Source organism: Homo sapiens, chromosome 3 (assembly GCF_000001405.40).
Source record: "Homo sapiens chromosome 3, GRCh38.p14 Primary Assembly".
NCBI classification, from domain to species: Eukaryota; Metazoa; Chordata; class Mammalia; order Primates; family Hominidae; genus Homo; species Homo sapiens.
Window position 1 is genome coordinate 170479192 of NC_000003.12, and position 27814 is coordinate 170507005.

The 27814-nt window shown below is 43.7% G+C and overlaps 1 protein-coding gene, 1 long non-coding RNA gene and 1 pseudogene across 4 annotated transcripts in view; 2 read left to right on the plus strand and 1 right to left on the minus strand.

Moving 5' to 3' along the window:
• The window catches only part of SLC7A14 (solute carrier family 7 member 14), a 126528-nt gene that overhangs the window by 19644 nt on the left and 79070 nt on the right, over window positions 1-27814 (minus strand). The window contains exons 3-7 of the mRNA NM_020949.3: window positions 21918-22154; window positions 19476-19693; window positions 7031-7177; window positions 4123-4331; window positions 1098-1975 (exon numbers count right to left, since the gene is read on the minus strand). Of these exons, the coding sequence (NP_066000.2) occupies window positions 1098-1975; window positions 4123-4331; window positions 7031-7177; window positions 19476-19693; window positions 21918-22154 (1689 nt within the window). The remainder of the gene's footprint in view (window positions 1-1097; window positions 1976-4122; window positions 4332-7030; window positions 7178-19475; window positions 19694-21917; window positions 22155-27814) is intronic.
• SLC7A14-AS1 (SLC7A14 antisense RNA 1) overlaps window positions 1-27814 on the plus strand; it is a 287921-nt gene that overhangs the window by 11907 nt on the left and 248200 nt on the right. Inside the window, exon 3 of one of the 3 annotated variants that reach the window (NR_135557.1) lies at window positions 23620-26186. The exons of the other annotated variants lie outside the window; for them this stretch is intronic. This is a non-coding gene — a long non-coding RNA (SLC7A14 antisense RNA 1). Of the gene's footprint in view, window positions 1-23619; window positions 26187-27814 lie in introns of those variants that run through there. 3 annotated transcript variants of the gene reach the window in all.
• On the plus strand, window positions 16174-17905 carry KRT8P13 (keratin 8 pseudogene 13; annotated as a pseudogene).

The following is a 27814-nucleotide window of genomic DNA, read 5'->3' on the forward strand; positions in this document are numbered from 1 at the left end:
CTCTCTTGGGCTAAGTGACTCGTGTGTTTGTCTTGCCTCTCCTTTAGGCAGGGTTTACTCTTCTATTCCCCAGAGCTTCTAAAGATCCTCTTTAGCTAAGAATTTGTTATCAGAGACCCCAGGGTTACCAAGTTGTTCAGAGGACATACAAATAGTGACTAAGGAACTTTAAAATGAGTCTTCCATTACACTTCTCAAGTTCTTACTAGCATCAATCCCCAGCCACCTCATGAACATCAGAGATTGTCCTAGATGATAAGCAAGTACTGCAAATACAATAGAAATGGATCACAAAGTAAAATTAGAAATCTTAGAGAAGGTACAGGACTTCTTGAAGTCCGTGAAAGTGAGTTTAGAGAACAATTTGAATTCACACCCAAAATTGTAGACAATTGAGGACCTAACAGAGTCATATTAGTTATTACCAGCAGGAGAGAGAAAATCAGTAAGGATGGTGGCATGATGGGTACTTCCCAAGTGAATGATTGGAATGTCAATGAATGAAGAAAGGACCTTGGGAAATATGAAAAACTTTTGAATATTTTACAAAAGTCAGTATGAAGTGAGAGATGTTAAATGATGCCATGATTCAATTTTGTCAGAAAAATTATGCCAAAAAATCCACACTTAATTCACACCTTGTTCATTTAAAAATGAGAGCATAATTGCTATTTTAATTTAATTTTGTGAAATCTAAGATAGTTTTTCATTTTACAATTCTTAGTTTCTATGATAAAATTCCATCCAAATGCCCTGACCCCAATTATACTATGCTATTTTTGTCACCTTAAAAATGTGGATTCACTTTAAGTGGACTTTTTCTGGTATTAATTATCCTGATATAGAAAGAACTTTCAGTAATTCAGTAAAGCGATGGATTAATCAACATCATTTTTCCAGAACCAATGACTAAGAACATTACAGGCAGAAAGGGGACAACTGGCTTTATTGACTCTTAGGCGGAACACAAGGGTCCATAGAACCAGCCAGATTTCTCTGGGAACGGAGTTGCCTAGTCCAGCTAGGAGGTAATTTTGGGATAAGCATGCTTAAGACCTTAAAAGGGAACTCTTAAGGCTCCAAAGGAAGTTGCTTACCCACAAAGCACCAGACCGCAAACCGGATCCATGTGATGGTGGAGAGCTTTAGCATGAGATAGATGTTCACCAGCATGGCAAAGGCAGGCACAAAGGGGAGGCAAGGGGCCATGTAGGGCAGCTTCTTGGGGTTCTCTGGCTGCTGCAGGATCACAAACACCAGGGTGCTGATCAGCAGCACCATCAGAACAACCAGAAGGATGGCCCACCAGCTCTGCTCTGAGATGTAGTCAGAACCAAAGATGATGAAGGAGCAGAAGATGAACATGAGGATGAAGAGCAGGAGCACGCAGATGGTCACCGTGTGCCCCGTCGCTGCTGTGGGCCGGTCCATTTTGCCTGGAAGGCCCAGCCGGATTCTCATGGTGTAATAATGAGGCCCAATCAGCTTCTTTAACTTGATGAGATAAATATTTTCGGATTCATCAGCTTCTATGCCTGTGGTCATGTCCACGGTGCCGTAATTGGGGTGGTTGACGTTGTAGGTTGACTTGTCTGATTTCCCTATGAGCATCTCATTGTCTCCCAAGGATGGTAAGTTCTTGGCCCCACATGTGTTGGTGGCTGGGCCAGAAAACTCATCCCCCTCACTCACAGGAGAACAAGCTTCCTTCTCACAGTCAGCCAGAATGCCCTCCTTCTTCTTGGTGTGCTCCTCAGACAAGAACTTGACAAAACCATCAATGTCACTCTCAGGTTGGTATCGAAGGAGCAAGACACAGACAGAGACCAAGGTGTAGGCCAGGAGCGTGCCGATAGACATCATCTCTATCAGGTCTCTCAAGCTGACCAACAGTGCGAGGAGCGCTGCCAGGAACCCCGACACGATGCAGGCCACCACTGGTGTCTCTGTGTAGGAGCTGACGTGAGCCAGGAACCTGGAGGGGCCGGGCAAGCAGAGGGTTAATGGTGAGCTACAGTGACCGATTCCAGTGCAGCCAACATAGGGAGCTAGAACTATCAATAGGCTGGTGTGATTAACTCCTCCTGGTCCTGCTCCACCAATTTACTTCTGCATTCACTACTTTAAATCCAGCTGCTATTCCTACCCCAGGATTTGGTATATAATTAAAAAAGAATTCACTTTAAATCTTTGATTTCTTTTTTTTTTTTTTTTTTGGTGAGATGGTGTCTCACTCTGCTTACTCTGTCCCCCAGGCTGGAGTGCAGTGGCGTGATCTCAGCTCACTGCAACCTCCACCTCCTGGGTTCAAGTGATTCTCCTGCCTCAGCCTCCCGAGTAGCTGGGATTACAGGCATGCACCACTACACCCGGCTAATTTTTGTATTTTTAGTAGAGACAGAGTTTCACCATGTTGACCAGGCTGGTCTCGAACTCCTGACCTCATGATTCACCCACCTCAGCCTCCCAGAGTGTTGGGATTATAGGTGTGAGCCACTGTGCCTAGACTAGTTCTTTGATTTTAAGGCAAAGTTCTTTAGTAAAGTTCCTAATCATTATGTAATGGGAAGGGTTGATTGAACCTAGGAGGTCTGTCTTTCAGAAACCTAGATTGAAGCCCAGGCTCTGCGTGAAAAAGTGATGGTTGGAGGAAGTCATGGACCTGCTTGGGGGTCCTCCTGACCTGTGAACTAGCATCTTAGCATTCTCTTGGAGCTTGTTAGAAATGTATATTCTCAGGTTTCACCCAATAACTACTATACCAGAATCATAGTAGGGTGAGGCCTAGCAAACTGCTTTAAAAGACCTCCAGAGGATTCTGATTTATGCCAAAGCTTGAGACACCACCTATAACAAAAGTTCATGGGTTTAGTTGGCAAAATAGCACAGTAATTGAGAAACTGTGCTCGTAGATACAGATTTATGTCCAGCTAGTTACTGACTGAAGAAGAGACCAAGAAGAGCGACTGAATGGCATGTGCAATAGGCTCCCTCTCCTCTCCCCTCTCCTCCTGGTCCCTTATTTTTATGGTTCACACAAGACTGTAAATGTGTTTGAAGCCCCAGTATCTTTCCTGTTAGTTTCTTTGACAGCAGAAAAATCTTTTGGATGTGTGAAGTTCCCACGCCTCCATCACCCTAGGCCCCTCTTGATCTGTTCGGCAACCTAATCACAGCAGCTCTGATCTGGTGATGGCTTCAGAGAGTATGCAGGGGAAATGAGTCAGAAGATGATGTCTGCAGAGACAAAGTCCCTGAACCGGCCCCCTCTGCACACCTGAGAGCTCCTTGGCCTCCACGGTTTACTCCTTGCTTTGTGCACTTGAAGAATGCCTTCTCAGCAGGCCCCTCATGCTGGAAACAAAGGGCTGGGGCCACATCCCCTTTGTACCATGGGCAGATGGGCCACTTCATGGCCAATGTAGGGGGCAAGAACTGCCAATATATTGGTGTGGTTAAAAGTCTGATTTTTGGAGTCGGATGTTCTGGGATCAAATCCTGACCTGCCACTCAGTAGCTGAGGGATTTGTGGCAATTTTGTTTCACCTCTCTGAGTCCTAGTAGACTTCATATGCAAAATAGAGTTACTGTGAGGACTAAATGGGATACTGTATACACAGCACCCAGGACACACAAATGTTCAATAAATGGCAGCTGGTGTTGCAGGTATTGTTAGGATCTGTTCAGAGGGTCTTATCTACTCTTTGTTGACTTTTTTTTTTTTTCATTTTCAGAGGGGCTGTGGAGAGTGGGGCAGTTACCAGGCCTCAATGTGAGGGCAGGCCTAAGATGTCCCTAGGATGGTTCTTCCTTCTGGAGGCCACCCAGTACAGCAGTTTGGCCCCATCATCTTCACAAAGGAGCACGCAATGTCGACAGGAGGGAGGACAGTGGGGGGACACACATCAGCTTGTGCTGGATTAAGGGACTGCAGAGTTAAACTAGGGGCTGCTTCAGGGCCTGAGCTCTGTTACTCAGACTTTTCTTCAGGATACATAACAAGGTCCACAGTCCATGTGAAAGGCACTGATGTCAAAATCACAGTCAGTCTGACAGTGGGTAGACATTCTCCCTGGACAGACGTGGCAGAGCAGGATAAATTTCATGGAGCATAGCCCTTACCTGAAAAGGAGCCCGTCACCAGCCATGGCATAAATGACCCTCGGCATCGGGAAGAGGGACCCCAGCAAGCTGACTGTCAGTCCTGCAACCGACCCAATGGCCACTACGAATTTGGCAGCATAGAACCCATGAGCCACAAACATCTCCATGAGTGGGGATTCCGTGTCAATGGTATAATATGGCACCATCAGAGTTAAGATCACGCTCACCTGTTAAAACAAGAGAAGACAGGGCTGGAGGTACAGGGGAAGAACAGCATGGATAGAGGCCCCACGGGAGAGGAAAGAGCCCTGCCCCTGGAGGCAGAGGCTTGCATGGCAGTTTGGATCCATTCACTTGCTGGCATGTGCCTTTACTGTAGACCAGTCATCTGGCCTCTAGGCCTTGCTCAATATTATTTCCCCACATGTGAATTTAGTGGACTGGGCCAGAAACTCTCTATCTCTCTGGTCCTTTGATATCTGAGGAGTAAGTCTGCAGGTATTTCAGCCCCATGAGCAGAGCTATGCTAACAGTTCAGTGGAGAGCAGATATTTCTGGAAGGAAGGAGCTGCAGCCAATGCCCTGCAACCAGGGCCTGGCAGGGACCATGAGCACCCTGCCCACGTGGACAAGACTCTCATTTCTCTTCTGCTTTCTGGTCCTACAGGGTTTTATCCGTACTCCCTCTCACTGTGAAACACCAGAGATAAAATCTCCAAAGATAAGTGCTTAAGAGGTCTATAGCCTATTAACTGTTGGGACCCAGATAAGGACTCATATTTCTATTTCCTTTCTCTAGCTTAGTCCTAGGATCCAGGCAGGCCAACAGACAAATGATGGCATCAGGACAGAATCAAGTCCTACTGATTATATGGCTGTCAGACAACTATGGCTTTGCTTAATCAGGAATCATTTACTGTGTGTGCTATAAGGGTCCACCCCCAGAGAAGAGGGAGATGCGAGGGAGGAGCAGAAGAGGAAATAGAGAGCAGAATGTCTTTGCTATTCCCTCTACCCTACCACCCCTCCTTCAACACTCTGCCTACGGGGAGAAATCAGGGTATGGACAGGACAAAGCCACTGGCATGCATGTGCATCGGGGAGGTGATAAGCACTTAACTGGGGGCTCCCAGGACCTACTCCCCTCGCATATTATTGATCTGCCTAACATCCCTGCCTTCAGAATTGGCCATAGGCAATGGAGCCACCAGTCATATGGCCAGATATGGGGGGCCCCCCAGGCCTATGAAGGCCAAATTGACATCAAGAAGGGATTCAAAGCCTGAAGGAAAGAGGGTGGTCACATGTAGACCATTTCTTTGCCTATTCCTCTGGAGCCAAGATCCTCCAGTGGAGCCAAGGGCCACCAAGGAGGACAGGATGTCCTAGCAAAGCCCAGCAACCTTGTTCTTCTCATGGTGGGGGAGGGGCTGCCTGCTGACCAGTACAAGACCAAACAGCTCCTAGGGCGTGTTTAAGGCCTGTGCAGTATGAAAGAGAATGTTTCCTAGTAACATAACCACTTGCAATATTTCCTCTGGGGATGGGGCAGGGTGGGCTGGAGGAGAGTGGGATTGAGCCTCCTCCAGCTTCAGGGAGTCTCCTGAGTTAGATCAGGATGGGTAAAAAGTTGGTGGATCATAGAAGTACTCTGTGGTCTATAAAGTGCTATTCTAAGGAGGGCACTGTGATGATTGACTTTATTGTGTGTGATAAGGGCCCACTCCTGGAGGAAGGGCGGGAATGAAGGAGGAGTAGAAGGGGAAATGCAGAGTGTCCTTGCTGTTCCTTCTGCCCCGCAACCCCTCCCTCAACATTCTGCCCACTGGGATAATCAGGGTATGTATGGACACGATGAAACCCCTTGCATGTGTGTGCTAGTGGGAGGTGATAATTGAGGCACCCATAAAACCTCTGGGTAGGCAGCTGAATGTCTGTAAACGACCCTCAAGTTTGCCCTGTGTTTTTCTCTGGCTTCTAGAACAATCCTGTTTGCAGCTTGCCTTAATGATCAATTGGTCTGGCTTCCTTAGCTAGTTGCTAAAGATGTCTTTTTTGGGAAAGAGAAACAGCAGGGCTGATCAGCAGCAGCACCCCCCACTGCCAGCTCTTTCCTAATTGTGGTGACCCAAGTGAGTGCGCCCCTCAGGACCTGAGAATGTTTGTGGAACCACACACTTCCTGGCCTGTGAGCCAATTTTCTCCATTGCCAGGGGCAGAGGGGGATGTTGGATGCAGCTGGGCTATTTCTGTGATAGAAATTCTGGGATGGGAGCTCCGAGAGCAAGCATCAGAGCATGAGGAGTGTCTCAGGGGCGTGATCCTGAGGAAGACAAGGCTGAAGTCTTTATCCTGAGGCTCCCCTAGGTAGGGATACCTGAAGGTGAATTTGAGCTGGTGTAACAAGAGGGAGCAACAGCTGAAAGAAATGGCACTTTCCTCCCCAGATTTAAGGGGAAGAGAGTTTGTAGAGGACAATGTATTCTCTCTCCCCGCTGTGCAGGGAGCCTCGCCTCTTTGCTGCCGGGAAGCTCCCAGAAGACAGAAGAGCATTGAGGAAAGTGCACAGAGGCCCACAATGCCTTTGCTTGCACATCCACCCGTTACTGCCAGCCTATGACCTGAGCTCCTTGGATGGCAGCCCATTCCCTGCACACCAGCCCCTGGGGCAGCAGCAGACACCAAGAGCTTGTGAGGATGGAGGGGTGGGAATGAAGGCCAAGGCTGAAGTGAAGTCCTGGGGCTTCTCCTCTTCTTCAGTTTGGAGTCCTAATTTTTTTCTTGTCATGGGGAGTGGGGAATGGGGCTACAGGGGACAAAAGACAGACACCAAGAAGACATAGGAAAGGACTCCTTCCTGACAGAGAAGGGAGCTCAGTGCCAGGGCCACATCGTGAGGAGGGTCCCGCAAGCATCTGGTACTTACAGACACATATGCTGTCAGGCAGATGACCAGGGAGGCAGTGATAGCATAAGGGATGGACGTGTTGGGATTCTTGGCTTCCTCTCCAGTGGTGGCGATGATGTCAAAGCCAATGAAAGCGTAGAAGCATGTTGCTGCTCCTTGCAGCACCTGTGTGGATGATGGCATTTGTCAGACTCAGAAGATCGGGGTGGCACCTGGGTCTTAAATGTGGAAAGTGCAATTGCTCTATGCCCTGCAGACATGACTGAGTGGCTGAGGGAGTAACATGGTGGAACTCGTGCTAAACACGCAGGTTCTGATCTCCTCTACTTTCTAGCTGTGTGGCTGTGGGCAACTCTCTTATGATGTGTAAATAGAGATAAGAAGAATTGGCCGGGTGCGATGGCTCATGCCTGTAATCACAGCACTTTGAGAGGCCGATGGGGGTGGATCACGAGGTCAGGAGTTTGAGAACAGCCTTACCAACATGGTGAAACCCTGTCTGTACTAAAAATACAAAAATTAGCCAGGCATGGTGACGCGCACCTGTAATCTCAGCTATTCAGGAGGCTGAGGCAGGAGAATTGCTTGAACCCAGGAGGCAGAGGTTGCAGTGAGCTGAGATCGCGCCATTGCACTCCAGCCTCGGCGACAGAGGGAGACTCCATCTCAAAAAAAAAAAAAAAAAATGCTTCTGGCTCTTAGTGTAGGGGATTCAGATACTTCTGCATAAGGAAGAATTATCCTACTTAAATTACTGTTAGTACCCCTGACAGATCAGCTCTATGGTAACTTCCAGATCTAAAATGATATAAAAGATTTTCAGATCTTCAGACATTCTATTGTCTTCACTGGGAAGACATGGTAAAGACAGTTTATTTGTTGCTCCTTTTGGGGCTTGAATAACCTAGTTGGGCACGAGGCAGGAGGTCAGAGTAAAGCTGGGGGATGGTATCCGCTCACATCTGCTGGCAGTCTGTCTGCCAGGAGTCCACATGGCTCCAGGGGTGTTTGGGAATGTATTATATATGTCAAAATGTCAGTGAAAACCTTCCATTGAAGAGTGGCTACTTTCTTTGAAAGAACCTATTGAAGTTTAAATGAGGGTTCCCCACCTCAGTATTTTCATTGTTAGCTCTAAGTAAAAAAGTGCCTCTTTGAATGCTTAGGGACGTCCTTTTAGAAGGTGAGAGATATTTTTGGACTTGTGTGTATGGGGTGAGGGAAAAAGAAGCAAGCCCTAGCCAGTGGTCCAGGAGGTGAGACCCATTGCAGACTGGACCATTTTATTTTTCTTTTCTCCACATTCAGTTTATAAATGATGGAAATCAAAACGTGTGCCAAGCTGACACTTGTCCAAAATTGTCACTCTTACTTTCCTCACTGACTTCTCAATAAGACCAAATATGAAATACTAGAACCTGTAAGGTACATCACAAAATTAAAGATCTTCTCAAACCTTCAGAAGCAAACTTTGCTCATCTGTAAAATGAGCTGGTGTTTCCTACCGTTTCTCTCAGCTAGGATTCTAATGTTTCAACCCTCTACTCTGGGGTTCTTATCCTGGAGGCCATGGAATTCAGGGCATCTAAAAATTTTGCTGGTAAAGAATTGCATATGTTTTTCACTACCTTCTAGTTGAATTAGCATTTCTTTCAGTTATGAATGTAGGTGACAAACTAACAATACCTGTGCCTGTGTCACCAATAGCAATCAGATATTTTCACTTCATATGAGAGTTGTTGCAGAGATCTTGAAATATCACTTATGCTTATTACTTCTTTCAGATTATGATAGTTATTACACATAGAGGTTAACATATAAATCCCTAATAGAGAAGCACATTGTTACTAGATTACAATATAAAAATAAAATAAAATTAAAAATACTTAATACTACATTTCAATATAATTGATTTCCTTTGAATTCGTGTGTAATTAGGCTATTCATTTAAAATCACAATTCTCATAAGGGATCCACAGGCTTCATCAAACATCCAGGTGGTCCATGGCACAAGAAAATTTAAAAACTCCTGGTCTATTCTAATAAGTCAGGTAGAAAGAACTTCTAAAATACAAGCAGTTCCATCTCTAGATGGCTACTTTCCAGAAGAAAAGAGAACTCCTGCTTTCCCTACAGCAAAGTTTTTCATACAGTGGTGTGGAAAACGTCTTTGGCCTCCAGACAAGGAGGGAAAATAGATCTCACCTCATCATACATGGAGGTTCACAGGCTTGGAAATGTGCTTGTTTTCACTTATCTAGAAAATATTACTGGTCTTCAAGGATGAACGGATGCTAGACTGCTGGCTCACTAAGTAGTCCTGATCAAGAAAAGTCTCACTTTAAGATAGTTCCTTCATTTTTGACAAAGGTGCCAAGAACATTCACTGGGGAAAAGACAGTCTCTTCAGTAGATAGTGCTGAGAAAACTGGATATCCATAGGCAGAAGAATGAAACTAGACCTTTATCTCTCATCATCTACAAAAATCAAATCAAAATATATTGAAGACTTAAATCTAAGATCTCAAACTATGAAACTACCACAAGAAAACATTGGGGGAAAATCTTCAGGACATTGGTCTGGGCAAAAATTTCTTGAGCAATACCCCACAAGCACAGGCAACCCAATAAAAACAGAGTTATTCTACACGTTCAAGTCCTTTGTGGAAATAAGCGGGGTTATAAATAAATCAGTATGTTGGCTATCTCTATATCTTAGGGAACTCATTCACCTTTTTGTACTTTGTTTTCATCCAACGTTTTCAAACGCAATCATAGGCTGTAAGACTACCCCTAGGGGATGTTTGGAAAGATGTTTGGAAAATCTCCAGGACACTGGTCTGGGCAAACATTTCTTGAGCAATACCCCACAAGCACAGGCAGCCAAAGCAAAAATGGACAAATGGAATCACATCAAGTTAAAAAGCTTCTGCACAGCCAAGGATACAACCAACAAAGTGAAGAGACAACCCACAGAATAGGAGAAAATATCTGTAAACTACCCATCTGACAAGGGATTAATAACCAGAATATATAAGGAGCTCAAACAACTCTATAGGAAAAAATCTAATAATCTGATTTAAAAAATGGGCAAAAGATTTGAATAGACATTTCTCAAAAGAAGACATACAGAGGGCAAACAGGCATTGATAATCAGATAAATGAAAATCACAACTATAATCAGATATTATCTCACCTCACTTAAAATGGCTTATATCCAAAAGACAGGCAATAATAAATGCTGGCAAGGATGTGGAGAAAAGGGAACACTCGTACACTGTTTTTGGGAATGTAAATTAGTACAGGCACTATGGAGAAGAGTTTAGAGGTTTCTCAAACAACTGAAAATTGGGCTACCATATGTTCCAGCAATCCCACTGCTGGGTATATACCCAAAAGAAAGGGAATCAGCGTATTGAAGAGATATCTGCATTCCTATGTTTGTTGCAACACTGTTTACAATAGCTAAGATTTGGAAGCAACTTAAGTGTCCATCAACAGATGAATGGATAAAGAAAATGTGGGACATATACACAATTGAGTACTATGCAGCCATAAAAAAGAATGAGATCCAGTCATTTCCAACAACATGGATGGAACTGAAGATCTTTATGTTAAGCAAAATAAATCAGGCATGGAAAGACAAACATTGCACATTCTCACTTATTTGTGGGATCTAAAAATAAAAACAATTGAACTCATGGACACAGAGAGTAGAAGGATGGTTATCAGAGGCTGGGAAGGATAGTTGGGGGCTGGACGGGGGGAGGTGGGGATGGTTAATGGGTACAAAAAAAGTAGAAAGAATGAGTAAGACCTACTATTAGATAACATAACAGGGTGACTATAGTCAGTAATAATTGTACATTTTAAAATAACTTAAAGAGTGTAATTGGATTGGTTATAACTCAAAGGATAAATGCTTGAGGAGATGGACACCCCATTCTCCACGATGTGCTTATTTCACATTGCATGCCTCTATCAAAACATCTCATGTACCCCATAAATATATACACGTACTAAGTACCCACAAAACAAACCCAGAAAAACAGGTCCTGCTTTCTCTTCCTTTAACATTTATTCTTCCCTTCTACACACACAGACACATATATGTACACACATAAACATGCACACACATGCAAATACATATAAACACAGATAAACACACATACATACACATGCAAACACATATACATACATATACATGCATACATACCCTCCTCTTGTAAATCATTTAGTGACTTGGCACAACAACCATATAAATTTGGGCAAAGCAATCTTAGAAAAAGGTGAGAGGTTTGTGAACCATGCCACGTAAGGAAGAACTGGGGACCTGGGGATGTTTAACTTGAAGAGCAGAAGACTCAGTGGAAGATGAAGAGGACACCTTTAAATATGTGCAGTACCGGCAGTTGGAGTCAATGTGATGTCCACTGTAGGCTTCAGAGGAAATCCTAGGGCCACACACATGGGAGTGACTGGCTTTAGTTAGGAGCATAGACTTTGTAGACTGTCAGGCCCAGGTTGATTCTGCCACATATTAGCTTGGTGACCTAGAACAAGTTCTTAACCTCTTGGAGCCTAAGTTTCATTCTTACTTAAATGGAGATAATAATAGCACTTAGCTCATAGTGTTGTTACAAGGATAAAATGAGATAATAGAGTAAACTGCAGTCCTATAATACAGTAGGTGCTCAGTAAATATTAGCTCTTACCACCAGTATTATTATTACAATTCTAAGTTTTTCTAGAGCAGTTGACACCCAAGGGCACAAACTCCTCCTCCTTCTCTCCTCCTTCTACTCCCCTACCTTCCTCCTTTTAGAACTTGACTTGTGTGTACTAAGTGCTACCATGTGCCAGGCACTGTGCTTAGTGATGGGGATATAGTCATGAGCAAGTACCCAGCTTGATTTTACAGAGATTGAGTCTAGAGGATACTGTAAGATCCGAAATGCATTCTTGATTATGGTAACAAACTCAACAAGATTAATAAGCATCTATATTATTCATGAAACAGAAATGCTACTTTCCTCTAAATGAACAAGAGAAGGGATGGCAATTACTGATAATGATTAGCTATTAGAAAGTTAATTATGATCAAGTAGGGAAAAGAGGAAGTAAACTTGCAAAGAGGATGTCTCTTAGCCTGCATTTGCATATGTAGAACTAGAAAGCAAGTACAGTTGGAGAAAGACTGGACAGATCAAAGGCAGGACATGTGGAGGTTCTACCACATTAGGCAGTCAAGATAATTTATTAATAACGCAGATGATTCAAACAAAATTTCAATGAGGGACTATAGGCAGGTCTGGGGAGTATTTAGGCAGGGTTAAGGGAGGTGTCTAGGGATGCTGAGGCATCAGAGACTTAGCAACACTGAGAAGCTCTCATCCTGAGGCCTAAGTGTAGGGGGTGGAATGGTGTCCTGGAGTCCGGTGGGAGCTGGAGGTATGGGGCAGAGATTCCTAGAAGTAGCGGCCTTGTGGAGGCACAGCCAGTGTGGTGCCAAGGTTGGGAGGCAGCGAGGAAGAAATACTCTGGCCTTGCTTTCTTCTCGCCTTCTGACTTGATAGTATTTCCCACTGGCTAAATTCAACAGGAAGCAACCTGGAGCAGAGAACAGGGCATGAAGGGTGGAGAATAGGTCTGGGGAGCGGAGGCAAATGGAGAAGAAAGACCAACACACCTACCAGGGTCAAACCAAACTTGGCCTAACAAGACATAGATGAAATAAACAGATTATTAAAGAGAAGATAGAAAATTAGCAAAAAGGGTCATCTTTTTACTTGAGTTGGTTTGAATGAGCTTTTCTTCCTTGCAAGCAAATGGTCCCTGGTTGGTAAATACAAAGACCCATGAAATGAAACTGTATATGGGTGTCTCTACCCAAAGAACCACTGAAACCGTTTTCTACGTCACTCTATCCAGATCTCAGATCTGACCACTGGTGTTTATAATTAGGATAGACTTCCATGCATAAAAGCACATGTGCAGTACCTAGGGGTGAGCATCTGTGAATAAAATTGGTGGGTGAAATATGTGTATGTGTGTTCGTGTGCAAGTGTATGTGTATTTCTGGGTTTATTGGTATGTTATCCTAACTCTTTGCTTTAATGTTTTGCAAAATTAAAAAATAGTATTGAAAAAAATTAGCTAGGTGTGGTTGTGTGCACCTGTAGTTCCAGTTACTTGGGAGGCTGAGGTGGGAAGATTACTTGAGCCTGGGAGGTTGAGACTGCAGTGAGCTGTGATCGCACCACTGCACTCCAGCCTGGGCGACAGAGTGAGACTCTGCCTCAAAAAAAAGTACTGACCTTTGTATTTGATGATATAGCTGAGATTGTTGTTTGAAGTCAACCTGGTGTAAAAACTCAGCCAGCTGATCCAGAACAGAGTTCATCCCTCTAGAATGGCATTGTGGGAAAGCAGCACGTGCCTCAGTTGCTGGAGGGCTTCTGCTTAGTTAATTGTCAAAAGCAATGTCATTAGTGGCCTGCTACTCAGTATGTGAGGTCCCTAAAAACTGGCCCCCTGCGTCTTGCTGATATTTGAGAGGCATTCAGATGAGGCAGCCTTCACACATTCTGCCTCAGCCAGTCTGCCGGATGCCTGGGAGATAATTAGGCGCCTTTATGTTATTCACTCTCTAGGCAACAAAATTCCAACTTTTCACAGCATTTTCTACCACCCTCATGCCCCAGCTCTATTAGCAGCCTGTCCCCAGTGACAGTGGAATGTGCTAATAGGTTCCCACAAATGGATTCAGATGTGGAGAACATGAAAAACAACTTTTCCTTTGTTTGGAGGCTGTCAGGATTCCCCACAAATGATTGCTATGGACCATTTTCCTGGGAGCTATTTGTGCTGGTAGAGTGTCTTATTTGCTTAAAGAAAAACTATAAGATAGTATCAAGAACAAATAACATGAAGGGAACACGCGTCCAGCAATGTTCAAGGGCTGAGGAATTGCAGATGGAAGCAGGGGTTCAGCTGAAGGCCAGAGTTACTTGATATAGGGAAAAATGTTTGTTGTTCTTAAACTCTTCAAGACCACAGAAGCATTTGACCCAGAACCTGTAAGTGAGTAAACCATTCCTTAAGCTATTTTCTTTGGAAGGAAGTGTTTGGAGCAGGGGAAAGAGTAGGTTTATGAGGGGTCCCTGGTTAGAGGATGGATTGTTCATTAACTCTTTCAAAGTCCTTGAGAATTGTGTGGAAAGTCATGTCATGCTATTCTTATAAATCATCTCCTATACAATGGTTTCCTCCATTCCATCCTACCTAAAGCAATTGAAGAATAAAGTGGGTTGGACCTCTGTACTAGTCCCCTAGTCAGGGGTAGAGGTAAGGGTTTTGATAAGGAGTGAAGAAGTTCATGTATCTGTTGACGAGGCAACACACTTCTGTAGACGATTTTTAGGTAACAGAGCGAGGAATGTGTGTATTACCTTGGTGTATGACATGCTCATGAGGCAGTGTCAGACCTTAAAAAATAGGGTCTAAATTCAAAATGACTTTGCTGGACTTTGGAAAAGTGACCTGAAACCAAAGTTGAGAAATAACAGGTCCAGGCCCATTCACTGGGAAGGAAATGTACTACGTAGAAATCCAAGGCCAGGCAGAGTGCAGAGAGGATGAATCAGCAACATCTTCACACTGGGCTGTCCTTTGTTCTCAGATGATACTTTTAGGCACATTCACTAGGACATATATCATCCCCAAGTTTCCTTTAGGGATAATGGAATTGCAGCAAAACATTCACAATCCCAGCCAAACTTTTTTCTTGGCCAATGACAAATCTACTCAAGGCAGTAGGCTTGGATTGGAATGAGGACAGTGAACAGAAGTGCAAAAAAAGATAACCAGTTCATGGTCCCAAACCCAGGTGGCAGTGGGGTAAATAAGTACTTTGGCCCATCCAGGACTGGGATCGAATTTCAGCTCTATTACTTACCATCTAGATCTGTGTCTTTAACTTTTCTAAGCTTGAGCTATTTGCATGTAAAAGTGGAGAGCTCTGTACTTATTTTGCAGGGCTGTTGTGAAAATTAAATTAAAAGTGTACATGAAAGAGTTTGTCACAAAGAAAATGTTCAATGTTGGGAAAAGCGTCCTTCATTTCTTTCTTATGCCTGACTTCTGATCTTCTCTTAGGAAAGTTAGTGAGAACCCAGGATGTATAAGTGGGGAACCCCAAGGCTGGCATGGTTAGCTCCTTCCTTGATGAGGCAGGCTCCTGATTGAGGAAGGATGTGGAGCCCCTGAGAAGGAAAGGGAGACCCCCAAAGAGAATAAAGGCCTCAGAACAAAACACAAGGCTAAAGGCAACGCTAAAATGTGCCTCCATCTTCTTCAGGATGGGTAAAGAACATTTACACAGAGGATATTAACTCTTTCCAGTCTTTAAGTGGGGCCTAAACTAGAGTGTGTGCCGTTTGGGTGAGCTAATAGGAGGATTTTGAAAATTAAATATCAATCAAGTAATTAAGAAGAGTTTTAGAATTGCATTGACAGGATGTCTTCATAAACAATGCATATGCAGCCTGGGTCAGTTGAACTATTTTCTATCTCTTAATGTTCCTCCAAGATTCTCTGACATCATGAAAGTTTAAAGGAAGTATAACATTTTAGATTTATTACCTTACTACTTACTAAAGAAAACTCAGAGAGAATGAGCGTGATACACAAGGTACTGCTTTGGTAGAAAGGGCTTTGGAGTCACACAGATCTGGGCAGAAACCCCAGCCCCAGAGCTGACTAAGTGAGGTCAGGTCAGTTTCGCAGCCTCTATGAGGATTCTCCACTTTTAAGTAAGGGATAACAGCACCACTCAAAAGTTTTGTTTTAAGGGTGAGATACTATTCATGGAATACGATGCCAGGAACTTAACAGGTAGTCAATAAAAACTAGTTCCTTCCTCATGTAGTTTTAACTATTGACAACCGTAACAAGCTGCACATAAAAACATCCAAGATTTTGCTGTTTTTTTGCAAACATGTAGTGCAATTAGTTTTGCCACATAATAGATAAGAAAAACTGAAAGCACAGAAGTTAATTGATGGCCAAAGTCTTCCAGTAAGTCCATGACCCAATAATTTCTTATACTGTTAAGAAAATGGTGAGGACATTTTCCTGCTACAATGAAAATGCAACTGAGGACCAAGAAGCAGCTTCTCGGCTCCTTCTGGAATCTCTGCCTGGTTCAGCCTGCCTGACTCCACTCCTGCCTCCACCATGTCCATCAGGGTGACCCAGAAGTCCTACAAGGTGTCCACCTCTGGCCCCCAGGCCTTTAGCAGCCGCTTTTACACGAATGGGCCTGGTGCCCACATCAGCTCTTCAAGCCTCTCCCGAGTGAGCAGCAGCAGCTTCCGGGGTGGCCTGGGCAGAGGCTATGGTGGGGCCAGCGGCATAGGAGGCATCACCACTGTCACGTTCAACCAGAGCCTGCTGAGCCCTGTTAACCTGGAGGTAGATCCCAATATCCAGGCCATGCACACCCAGGAGAAGGAGCAGATCAAGACCCTCAACAACAAGTTTGCCTCCTTCATCGACAAGGTACGGTTCCTGCAGCAGTAGAACAAGATGCTGGAGACCAAGTGGAGCCTCCTGCAGCAGCAGAAGATGGCTCGGATCAACGTATTTGAGAGCTACATGAACAACCTTAGGCGGCAGCTGGAGGCTCTGGGCTAGGAGAAGCTGAAGCTGGAGGCGGAGCTTGGCAATATGCAGGGGCTGGTGGAGGACTTCAAGAACAAGTATGAGGATGAGATCAATAAGCGTACAGAAACGGAGAATGAATTTGTCCTCATCAAGAAGGACATGGATGAAGCTTACATGAACAAGGCAGAGCTGGAGTCTCGCCTGGAAGGGCTGACTGACGAGATCAACTTCCTCAGGCAACTGCATGAAGAGGAGATCCAGGAGCTGCAGTCCCAGATCTCGGGCACGTCTGCGGTGCTGTCCATGGACAACAGCCTCTCCCTGGACATGGACAGCATCATCGCTGAGGTCAAGGCACAGTAGGAGGAGATCGCCAACCGCAGCTGGGCTGAGGCTGAGAGCATGTACCAGATCAAGTATGCAGAGCTGCAGACGCTGGCTGGCAAGCACGGGGATGACCTGCGGTGTACAAAGACTTAGATCTCCGAGATGAACCGGAACATCAGCCGGCTCCAGGCTGAGATTGAGGGCCTCAAAGGCCAGAGGGCTTCCCTGGAGGCCCCCATCGCAGATACCGAGCAGCGTGGGGAGCTGGCCGTTAAGGATGCCAGCGCCAAGCGGTCGGAGCTGGAGGCCGCCCTGCAGCGGGCCAAGCAGGACATGGCGCAGCAGCTGCGTGAGTACCAGGAGCTGATGAACGTCAAACTGGCCCTGGACATGGAGATCGCCACCTACAGGAAGCTGCTGGAGGGCGAGGAGAGCCCGGCTGGAGTCTGGGATGCAGAACACGAGTATCCATAGGAAGACCACCAGCGGCTATGCAGGTGGTCTGAGTTCCGCCTATGGGGGCCTCACAAGCCCTGGCCTCAGCTATGGCCTAAGCTCCAGCTTTGGCTCTGTCGCGGGCTCCAGCTCATTCAGCCGCACCGGCTCCGCCAGGGCCATGGTTGTGCAGAAGATTGAGACCCGCGATGGGAAGCTGGTATCCGAGTCCTCTGACGTCCTGCCCAAGTGAAGAGCTGCGGCAGTCCCTCCCAGCCTGCCTCTACTGTGGCTCCCCCAGAGCCCGGGAGGGAGGCTGCTGTGCAGGGGAGCACAGGGAACAGGAGACCCACCTGAAGCTCAGCCCTAGCTCTCAGCCCACGCGCGGGGGAGTTTACTGCTTGGGGACCCCCCTTGCCTCCAGCTACAAAACAATTTAATTGCTTTATTTTGTCCAAAAAAAAAAAAAAAAAAAAAAAGAAAGAAAGAAAGAAAAAAGAAAATGCAACTGAGTTCCAGGAAAACATTCCTTCTTTTCAGTCTTGTAATTTGTTGTTTCTCTTATATGATAGGAAAGGAACAGTTTGTATCATAAGATAATATAGATCTGGGGATCCAGAATGGGGCCAACAGTGTTTCTTTGTCTCTTCTTTTGGGTTTAAGCAGTTTCAGTATTTATTCATTTCAAAGAGGAGGGATGAACTTTGTAGTTCTGTGGAATTCTTATAGATAAGGAGAAGACTAGGAATCTTGGCTTAAATTGCTTCCTTGCTTATTTCTCTGCATTGAACGGCATGGCGTGGTTCGGAATAAACAAGTGATTTTGAGTGTTCTCCAAGAAACATTTCTGATCCCTGGACATGTTGGAGAAAAACCAGCCTAAGCAAAAGCTGCAAAAGCAAAGTGGGTGGAATCCTGGACTTGCTTTCTGTCATCAGTTCTAGGCAGACTTGCCTCTCTCGACCTTAGGTTGTTCATCTGTTAAATGAACGGATAGGACCAGGTAACCTCTAAGGTCCCTGACAGCTCAAAATTCTCTGATTTATGTTCTACCATGAAAAAGAGGTGGGCTAGTGAATTTCACCAATAAATCCACAACATAAGTATTTTTAGTCATCCTAGAGAAAGAAACCAGGTGCAACTCACAGCCACTTGTCAGTATAAAGAATTTGCCTCTCTGACCTTCCTATTTTTCTCTAGCATAAACCGCACTAGCCAGATCATGGAATGAGATCTGAAAACATCCTTTTGGTCCAGCCCATGCTCTTGCTAACCCCTAGACCACACCAGGTAAACCTGCCTGTTATGAACTATGCCTTTGGAATGGGATTTATAGCACAGCCCTCCATTAGGCCAGCTCAGCTGTCCTCTGACCTCAGTAGGACTCTCCTCCTAGAGTCAAATGCTGACATTGGAATTAAAAACTGTTATTTTCCTAGTGTCATACCCAGGCAAAACTCATCCCTTCCCTACTGTCCCCTTTCCCTGGCCTCCTTTATTGCCTTGTGTATTTATGTTCTTCTTGATCTCTCTTAGTAGATTGTAGACATAATTCTATAGAACTGAGCTGTTCTTGCACAGACTTTGGAGCCAGGCAGTCGTGGCTGACTGGGTTCTGCCACTTACATTGTGTGTTTAACAGTAAGCCATTTGAACTCTCTGAATGGGAGTTTTTTTCATCTTTAAGAGCAGAATGTAAATATCTTCCTCACAAGATTATCAGGATGATTAAATGAGATAGTACGTGCAAAGACACTTAGCACAATTTTAGGCAATTGCAGGTTGCCAAAACATTGAATCTATTATTATTATTTGTATAAAATAAGATCTTAACAAATGCCTGTGGAAAAAAAAACAACACACAAGAACCACTTCTTCAGGATATTCCAACTAAATTAAGATCAAAAGGTGATAAAGAGGGTGCTGTGGTAATTATGGAACAGAACAGCATTTTCTTGAAAATATGTCTTAGGTTGGTCACAGGGTAGAAGGCAGAGTGTGTGACAGGCACACCAGGTGTTTGGAACAAACTTACCCCTGACCAGCCGTGGGGCAAGAACTGGCCCTCCGCCCAGTATTTCCCATTGATGAAGAAGAGGCCTGCGATCATGATGAACACCCATACTGCCAGGTTCAGCACATTGAGAACATTGTTGAAGCCTATGGAATTCTTCACCCCCAGAGCAACAATGATGGTCACGATGACCGCGATCAACAGAGCCAGAAGGTCTGGGTATGATTCTTCACCTTTCCCTAGAGAGGAAAGACATGATTTGACATTGTCTGGAGGGAAGAAAGGGCCATGCAAACTCCTGGTCCTACCCCACTGCATCCGTACTCAGCTTTAAGAAGGGCAGTAAACTGGGAGGCCGAGGCAGGCAGATCACGAGGTCAGGAGATTGAGACCATCCTGGCTAATACGGTGAAACCCTGTCTCTACTAAAAATACAAAAAAATTAGCCGGGTGTGGTGGCGGGCGCCTGTAGTCCCAGCTACTCACAAGGCTGAGGCAGGAGAATGGCGTGAACCTGGGAGGTGGAGCTTGCAGTGAGCCGAGATCACGCCACTGCACTCCAGCCTGGGGGACAGAGTGAGACTCTGTCTCAAAAAAAAAAAAAAAAAAAAAAAAAAAAAAAGAAGGGCAGTAAGTCTTTAAAAGGAACTCTGTGTGTGTGTGTGTGCACCTACACATGCCTATGCTATAGTCCACAAGCAGATACCAGTATCTATTTGCAAATGAGCAGGATTTGGTAGATAGGTAAGATGATCTGGTATCCTGGACCAAAAATTGGGCTATGTGGTGTGACAATTACAACAGCGCCTATGAAACCATGGCACAGAACATTTGAAGTGGGAACCATCCTGGGATATTTGGGATGTATATTTAGGTCTAACATGTTTGAAAATTGTTTTTAGCTTCATTATTTTTAATTTTACAGTCTGTAAAATTTCCATCCCATTCCCAAACCTTTTCTTTATCAACAATTTTAAGAATGTGTGTCTTTGAAAATGATGGTAAGAGGGGTTTTCTGTCCTTTTGTGTATATGTGGTTGTAGAGAAAAAAATAACCAGTGAACACGCCCTGCCTGCTTGGTTTTGCCCAACGGCCAGTGGACTCCTGCCCTCTATAGAGTGGAAAAGGCACTGCCTCAGCTGCAGGGATCTTGAATTTCAGCTGTACTTTTGCCCATAGCCAGATGTGTGGCCTTGGGCAAGTTGCCTCATCTTTCTGGACCTCATTTGTAAAGTGAAGGACATGAATGGCCTGATTTTGGAGGACTCTTTTAGACCTAAAATTCTATGCAATCAGTACACAGAACAGGTTTGTTCTTTATATTTTTATCTTGTCATGGTACTTGGGTGCTCAGCATTTTTGTCAGTTCTTTTGATATAGGAATATCGAAGTTAGATGACTTGACACAGCCACAGAATCATTCCTTGGAAGTTCTGAGGCAAGATTCCAGAGCTTCCTCAACTATTGTTTAGCTTTTCTAGAATGTGAGTTTATCAGGCATCAAGATGGAGAGTGGCCGGGCACAGTGGCTCATGCTTGTAATTCCAGCACTTTGGGAGGCCAAGGTGGGTGGATCACAAGGTCAGGAGTTTGAGACCAGCCTGGCCAACATTGTGAAACCCCATCTCTACTGAAAATACAAAAATTAGCTGAGTGTGGTAGCTGAGTAGTAATCCCAGCTACTCAGGAGGCTGAGGCAGGAGAATTGCTTGAACCAGGGAGGTGGAGGTTGCAGTGAGCCCAGATCATGCCATTGCACTCTAGCCTGGGCAACAGAGCAAGACTCTGTCTCAAAAAAAAAAAAAAAAAAAAAAAAAAGGAGTGGATGGCAAATGATGGATGGAGCCTGAGGTCTCATGGTATTTGTTACACGAGCTTCTGATGGTTTAGCATTCACTGTTATATTACCCCTCCCTGACCTCTTCTAGGCTGGAACCCATTTTATTCATTAAATTTTTTTTCATTGAAATTTGGAAAAAAAATCTGATGAAACCACTGGAGAAATTGCTGACAGTTCTTTTTTTCCTGCATTGGTTTTATTTTTATATAGTTATTGACATGTGCCTGTATGGTTTGTAGCCTTTGACGTATGACATTACATTAAAACATAATCCATGTTATTACAAGTTTCCCTAATCATCCTTTTAATTGCTAGCTACATAGTATTTGTCTGCAATTTACTTAGTCACTTGCCCCACTGTAGAATATTTAGGCTGTCTCTAACTTTTTGTTATTGTAAATAAGGCTGTGGTGAGCATCTTTTTGTATAATGCTTCCATGGACATTAGAATTATTTTTTAAGGATGGATAGATTCATAGAGAAAGAATTACTTTGCAAAAGAAAAAGAGAGATATATTTAAGGCTTTTGATACATTTTGCCAAATTGCTTTCTGAAAGGAGAACTCATTTATGTGGCTTGGTAAGTTTGCATGTTGAGGGTAGGAGGATGTGGCAGTCTCACCCAGGCCATTGAGGGTTCCCACGCTGTCCGCCATCCAGCGGCTGATGGTGTGGTTGGCTAGTGAGTCAAACATGCTGCTCAGAGCACTGGCTCCGGCCGCAGTGCCAATCAGGTACTCCAGGATCAGGTTCCAGCCAATGAAAAATGCCACAAATTCCCCAACAGTGACATAGCTGTAGGTGTAGGCAGATCCTGTGGTCTTGGGGACTCGAACTCCAAACTCTGCATAGCAGACGCCTGCAAGGGACAGACATACACAGATGGTGGACTTCAGGAGATGAGCTGACATCCTGTGGCCAACAATCTTGGGTGGAACATACTGAGACTTTCTAGGATCTCAGAACAAATACACAAAGTTTTATGTATATGAATCGATTCAGAGCCAACTCTTACCTCTTCCAACCTCACTTCTGAAAAATGCAAACTTGAATGACTAGCAAGGCAATCAGAACTAATTCTACTAAACTGTTGGAAACTGATCTTTATTTAGAAAAAATTCCACTTGTGTGTGTCTCTATCATGCTCCTTAGGTGTCAGATATCCTGTGTGAACATGGGCCCAATTCATCACGACCCCCACCCTAGATGGCACCAGGGTTATATTATGCACAAACTTCTTCTCTTTCAGTTTTTACATATTATAGAAGGTGCTCCTCATTTGAGAGTGATACTTTGAGCAATCTGTGAAAATGCTGTACTATATCTAGGGGGTAGATAAAAGATGCAAATATAAATAAATTACTAATTATTAACAAGGAAATCTAGCACATGCACAAAAAGTAATTTAACAAACACTTTTAGAGTCCTACCATGTGCATGGCAGGGTGTGAAGCACTGGGTATAAAAAAGACAAATGGCATATGCCCCTGCCCTTAAGGGGAGAGAGGCCATCAGTGCCCACTGTAGGCTGTGTAAGCTTGACAGTGTAAAAATGTATAACAATGAGAGGAGAGATGTGAGACATGTACTTAGAGGGTTTTGAGGCATATGTAGGGATTAATTGGATGAAGAAGGTGGAACATGAGGCAAAGACATGGCAGAGAGAGACAGTATGAAGTATTTGGGTGGAGGGGAGTGTGCACTGAGGTATTAGGAGGAGATGACGCTGGCCAGCTAAGCAGAGCCATGTGTTTTCCAAAGTGGGTTCAGGGCCCACTTCCACCAGAATCATCGATTGAATCCTAATTTCAGGAGATAGGAATCAGGATGCTGCATTTTAACCAGTTCCCAAGGTAATACATGTGCTCACTTGTATCAGAAATGCACTGGAATATTGCCTCATTCTCTGACATAATTAGAGAATATATTAGAAAGAGATTAAGAACATACCAAACTTCTGGGAGTTGGGAGAGTTCCCTATTTTGTGCTAGGAATTCTGGGTGTGGGCCAGTGGGTGGGGCAACGAGTTGGAGGTCAGACATAGGACAGCTTGGAGGAAACATACCAGGGGTGGGATGTAAGAGGATGTAGGAGGGAACTCAAAGTCAACTTTACCTTCAGTCCTAATTTTGTTAAGGGCCAACCCTGAAGTTCTCTCATCACAAACCAGGGAACAATAGTTCACTCTTTTGTGAATAAAGAGAGCAGGTTTCTTCTCATTTGGAAGGGAGTGAAATCAATGCAAAGAAGCAAAAACAGAGATGTCAAAAGCAATGGCACAATAAATGATTCCATGTGATGTACTATCTCTTCTTTCCCCTCAGCTGCTTCAGTTGTCAGGATGTTTACACGGAAGAAGCACTGGACCAGTTATGCTGGGCTCCTGTTTCTACTCCATCCCTGTAGATTCAGCATCCTTGTTTCTAAAATAAAAGTATTACACCAAAGACTCTCTTACGGATCTCCTAACTCTGACCCTCTAGGATTCCATCTGTTATATTGAACTTTGTAGTATTTTTTGCTGCAAAATCTGTTGAGCACAGCTTAGCTTTTCTTTTACATCAGTTACAATATTGTTCAGTATTATGGAGATGCTGTCAGGGATAGTGAAGCTGTTTGTCTCTACATTAAATGGCCCAGTCTGTTATTTATTTTGAGTTCCTATGTCAGCCCTCCTCCCCTTGCTTTGTAAATGTAGCTTTCCATCTCCTTCCTTGATGTCAGACTGTCAGTTTTTACTTCTTGTTGCTGTCCCAGTGCTTACCTGGAGCAGTCAGACTGCCTCTTTTCTAAATTGCTGCTTCCAACACCTGATATTTAAATTGTTAGAGTGAGTCTAAAATTAAGAGGAAATGGTCTTTGAAGAAGGCCTGAAGAACTCTTCCATGGGGAAAGTATAGAGTGTGCACGCATTAAATACAAGAACCTGATGATATTTTCTTGGATGCCGTGTGTTTTCAGGGTTCTCGGGAGTTGAGTTTGCACATACGGATTAGGTTGCTCTTTCAGTGATGTGTGAGGAAGGAAGTGAAGATGCAACTCACTTCCCTGCTTTGGTATTGGATCCACAGCATTATCCAATTACTCCTATATTCTATGAGCTTATTCTCATCACCCAACTTTACCACCTGATATTGTACAAGATTTATAAGTAAAATCTTTTCCAAATGATGCTTTTGAAGCAGGCATCGATTTGATTGCAAATTTAATTTGGAGAGCCAATATTTATGGAATTTGTGCAATCAAACATTCTCTCCATAACATTCGATCTGACAAATTAAATTTAAAAATACCCCCATTTTGCCACCAGAATACACTTGCCAAGGGTAATTAGCAAATGGCCAAGTCTTCATTAGGTCTTGTGAATGGACCAGTCCATTGCTGTCTGAATCAGAGAAAGAGGCCCTGGCTGTGCATGGTATAAGGAGCATTTGGAATCTTAGTCATTTCCCAAGGTCCTGCTGGGGTCCTAATGACTGTAGTTTGGGGAGAACACTGGGAAAATCAATCAGGCACTAACCATACAAGACAATTTCTGCTTCACGAAATCGTTGTTTTGGACACACTGTAAAAGATCTTATAATATTTTAAAATCTTTCTGATTTGTTTGTATGGAGAAATTCAGACTTAGAGTGGGTACTAGAGAGCATCTAGCCTGGCATTGAAGCTCACTGGTGATAATTGAATGTTTACAGCCTCAAATATCCTGAGAAAAATGTTCTCATTCAACTATTTTAAAATATCTGGTATGTAAGAGGAACACATTTAAGAGTATCTTTCTAATTTCAATAAGAAATTAAAAGCATGGAAATGGAATTTTATTTTATTTTTTTAATTTTTTTTAAATTTTTTTAGATGGAGTTTCACTCTGTCGCCCAGGCTGGAGTGCAGTGGTGTGATCTTGGCTCAATGCAACCTCCACCTCCTGGGTTCAAGCCATTCTCCTGCCTCAGCCTCCCAAGTAGCTAGGACTACAGGCATGCACCACTATGCCTGGCTAATTTTTGTATTTTTAGTAGAGATGGGGTTTCTCCATGTTGGCCAGGCTGGTCTCGAAGTCCTGACCTCAAGTGATCCTCCTGCTTCAGCCTTCCAAAGTACTGGGATTACAGCGTGAGCCACTGCGCCCGGCGAAACCTTGGTTTTTATCCTAGATTATCTAGGGTCCTAGATTACTGAGTGTTGAGGGGCAAGTTACCCTCTTATGGATGAAATGAGACGGCCAATTAGATACAGTTTAGGGTCCCTTCTGATGCATCATTCTTTGGTTTTACAGCTAAAGTCAACTCTTAATCATCTAGTTAGTGAGGGAAGCCCTGTAGGAAATACTGTATGAACCAATGGTTCTCAGTGAAGGTGGTACTGACTCCTAGGGGAATTTTGGAAATATGTGGGAGTGTCTACGGTTCTCATGATGATTGTGGGCACTTGTGGCATTAAGTGGACAGGGACCTGGGCTGTTTATCATTCTGCAATGTGACTGACTCACAGAATGAAGCTCTGTCTTGTATCATATATGACTGCTGATGGCCCCAGTGGACATTCATTTAAGTACAAACCTGTTTATAATTTTTGAACTTGAATTTATCTCCATTTTACATATACACACAAAGCATTTTTTTTTTTGCATGGCTTTTTAGACATTGAATTTTCCAGGACTGCAACAGCTGGGTAAATTGAGAGACAGTTGTCTCTTGTTTGGTTTGGAATTTACCGACTTGATCATCATTTTGGAAGACCATCATCAACAACAATGTTATTCATGGACTTTGAGCATCAAATAACTGTCCTATATGAGTCTGCATTTGTGGCAGTTGTACTCACAGTGGTTCTACAAATGACTGCAAACAACTGACGACTTCGTTGCGTCTCCTAATGTACGCATGCCCCATCATTCACATGTTGAAATAAATATTGTTTTTATTCAAAATTACTTTCCTTTGATTTATCTTTCACACTCAGGACATATTTATTTTTTAAAAAATCAAGTGCGTAGGAAGGTAACCATCTCTAGTTTTCATCCAGAATAGTAGAGGAAGCATTACAAAGTATTTATTACCAAAAATGAATTTGGGTGTACTAGGGTAGAGAATCACTGTTTTAAATGAGAGATCAATGGCCGGGCGCGGTGGCTCATGCCTGTAATCCCAGAACTTTGGGAGGGCGAGGCGGGTGGATCACCTGAGGTCAAGAGTTTGAGACCAGCCTGGCCAACATGGTGAAACACCGTCTCTACTAAAAATACAAAAAAATTAGCCAGGTGCAGTGGCGGACGCCTGTAGTCCCAGCTACTCTGGAGGCTGGGGCAGGAGAATCGCTGCAACCTGGGAGGTGGAGGTTGCAGTGAAGTGAGATTATGCCACTGCACTCCAGTGGGGACAACAGAGCAAGACTCTGTTTCAAAAAAAAAAAAGAGAGATTAACATATAAATAATATTTACTTAATTTGGTGAATCCATTAAAAAATTTTGCCCCTGAGTTACCTTTCTAATCATATTTGCCTTATGCTATTATCGAAGTGATTTTACATTTTGTGGTTATCCACCAAGTGATTAGAGGGAGAGGCATATTGATTTCAAAAGTACTTATTGATATAGCTAGAGAGAATCAATATGAAATCCAGTGTTTAGGTGCAGGCAGCCATCAGTGAGTGACTGCATGCTGCAGACCACATGATGGAAATTTTCCCTTAGTGTTGGTCAGAGATGAGAATTCTAAGTCCTTGAGAAATATAAAGGATTTATTTCAGCAGGACTAGAGGTAATAAGCCTGCAAGTCTGACACCTTTTCAATTACCCACGATATAAATCTATTGTAAACAGATTCCTATTTATATTTTGTCCCATTTCTAGTGTTTTATATTTCTATACCCAGAACTATTTGTGGTTAAATTGATAATTTGCCAGCCTAAAAATCAGTTAGAACTTGGAGTGAACTTCCACATTGAAAAGTGGGTTGGGACAAGGTACCGGGAGATTCTCGATTTGCAATATTCTCTGTTAATCCTCTTATATGTATCCCAGATGATGTGTGATTTGGGTTTTCAGAAAAATATGGTCCTTTTCAATGTGAATTTCTTTTCAAGTTACAGTCTATGGTTCTATCATATATGTAAATAAAGAGCCAGCCTTAGGTTTAGTTCTTTCAGACAGCCTACATGCAATGTTGACCTTTCTAAACTATGCTTAACAGAGCACAACCCAATAGCAAAGATAATCACGACATGCTTCTCCCTCTCTAATTCTGCTGAGTCACTTGCAGCCTACCCGGATTCCCTATTGCCCTTTTAGAACCAGGAAGCAAAACTTCTCCTTCCTAACAGGGTAAAGGAGAAAGACCCAGCTGGGAGTAGGCAAAAGGAGGAAAATTCTATTTTTAAGTGGGGAAGCTTTTCCACTTAAGGGGTAAGTTATTGGGGGTACAGTTTATATAATATGATGAATTCAATTATTATGTTGCCTGATCATAAGTGGAGAAAGGCTTCTCCACTTAAGACATAAATTTCCCTCTGCATTCCAC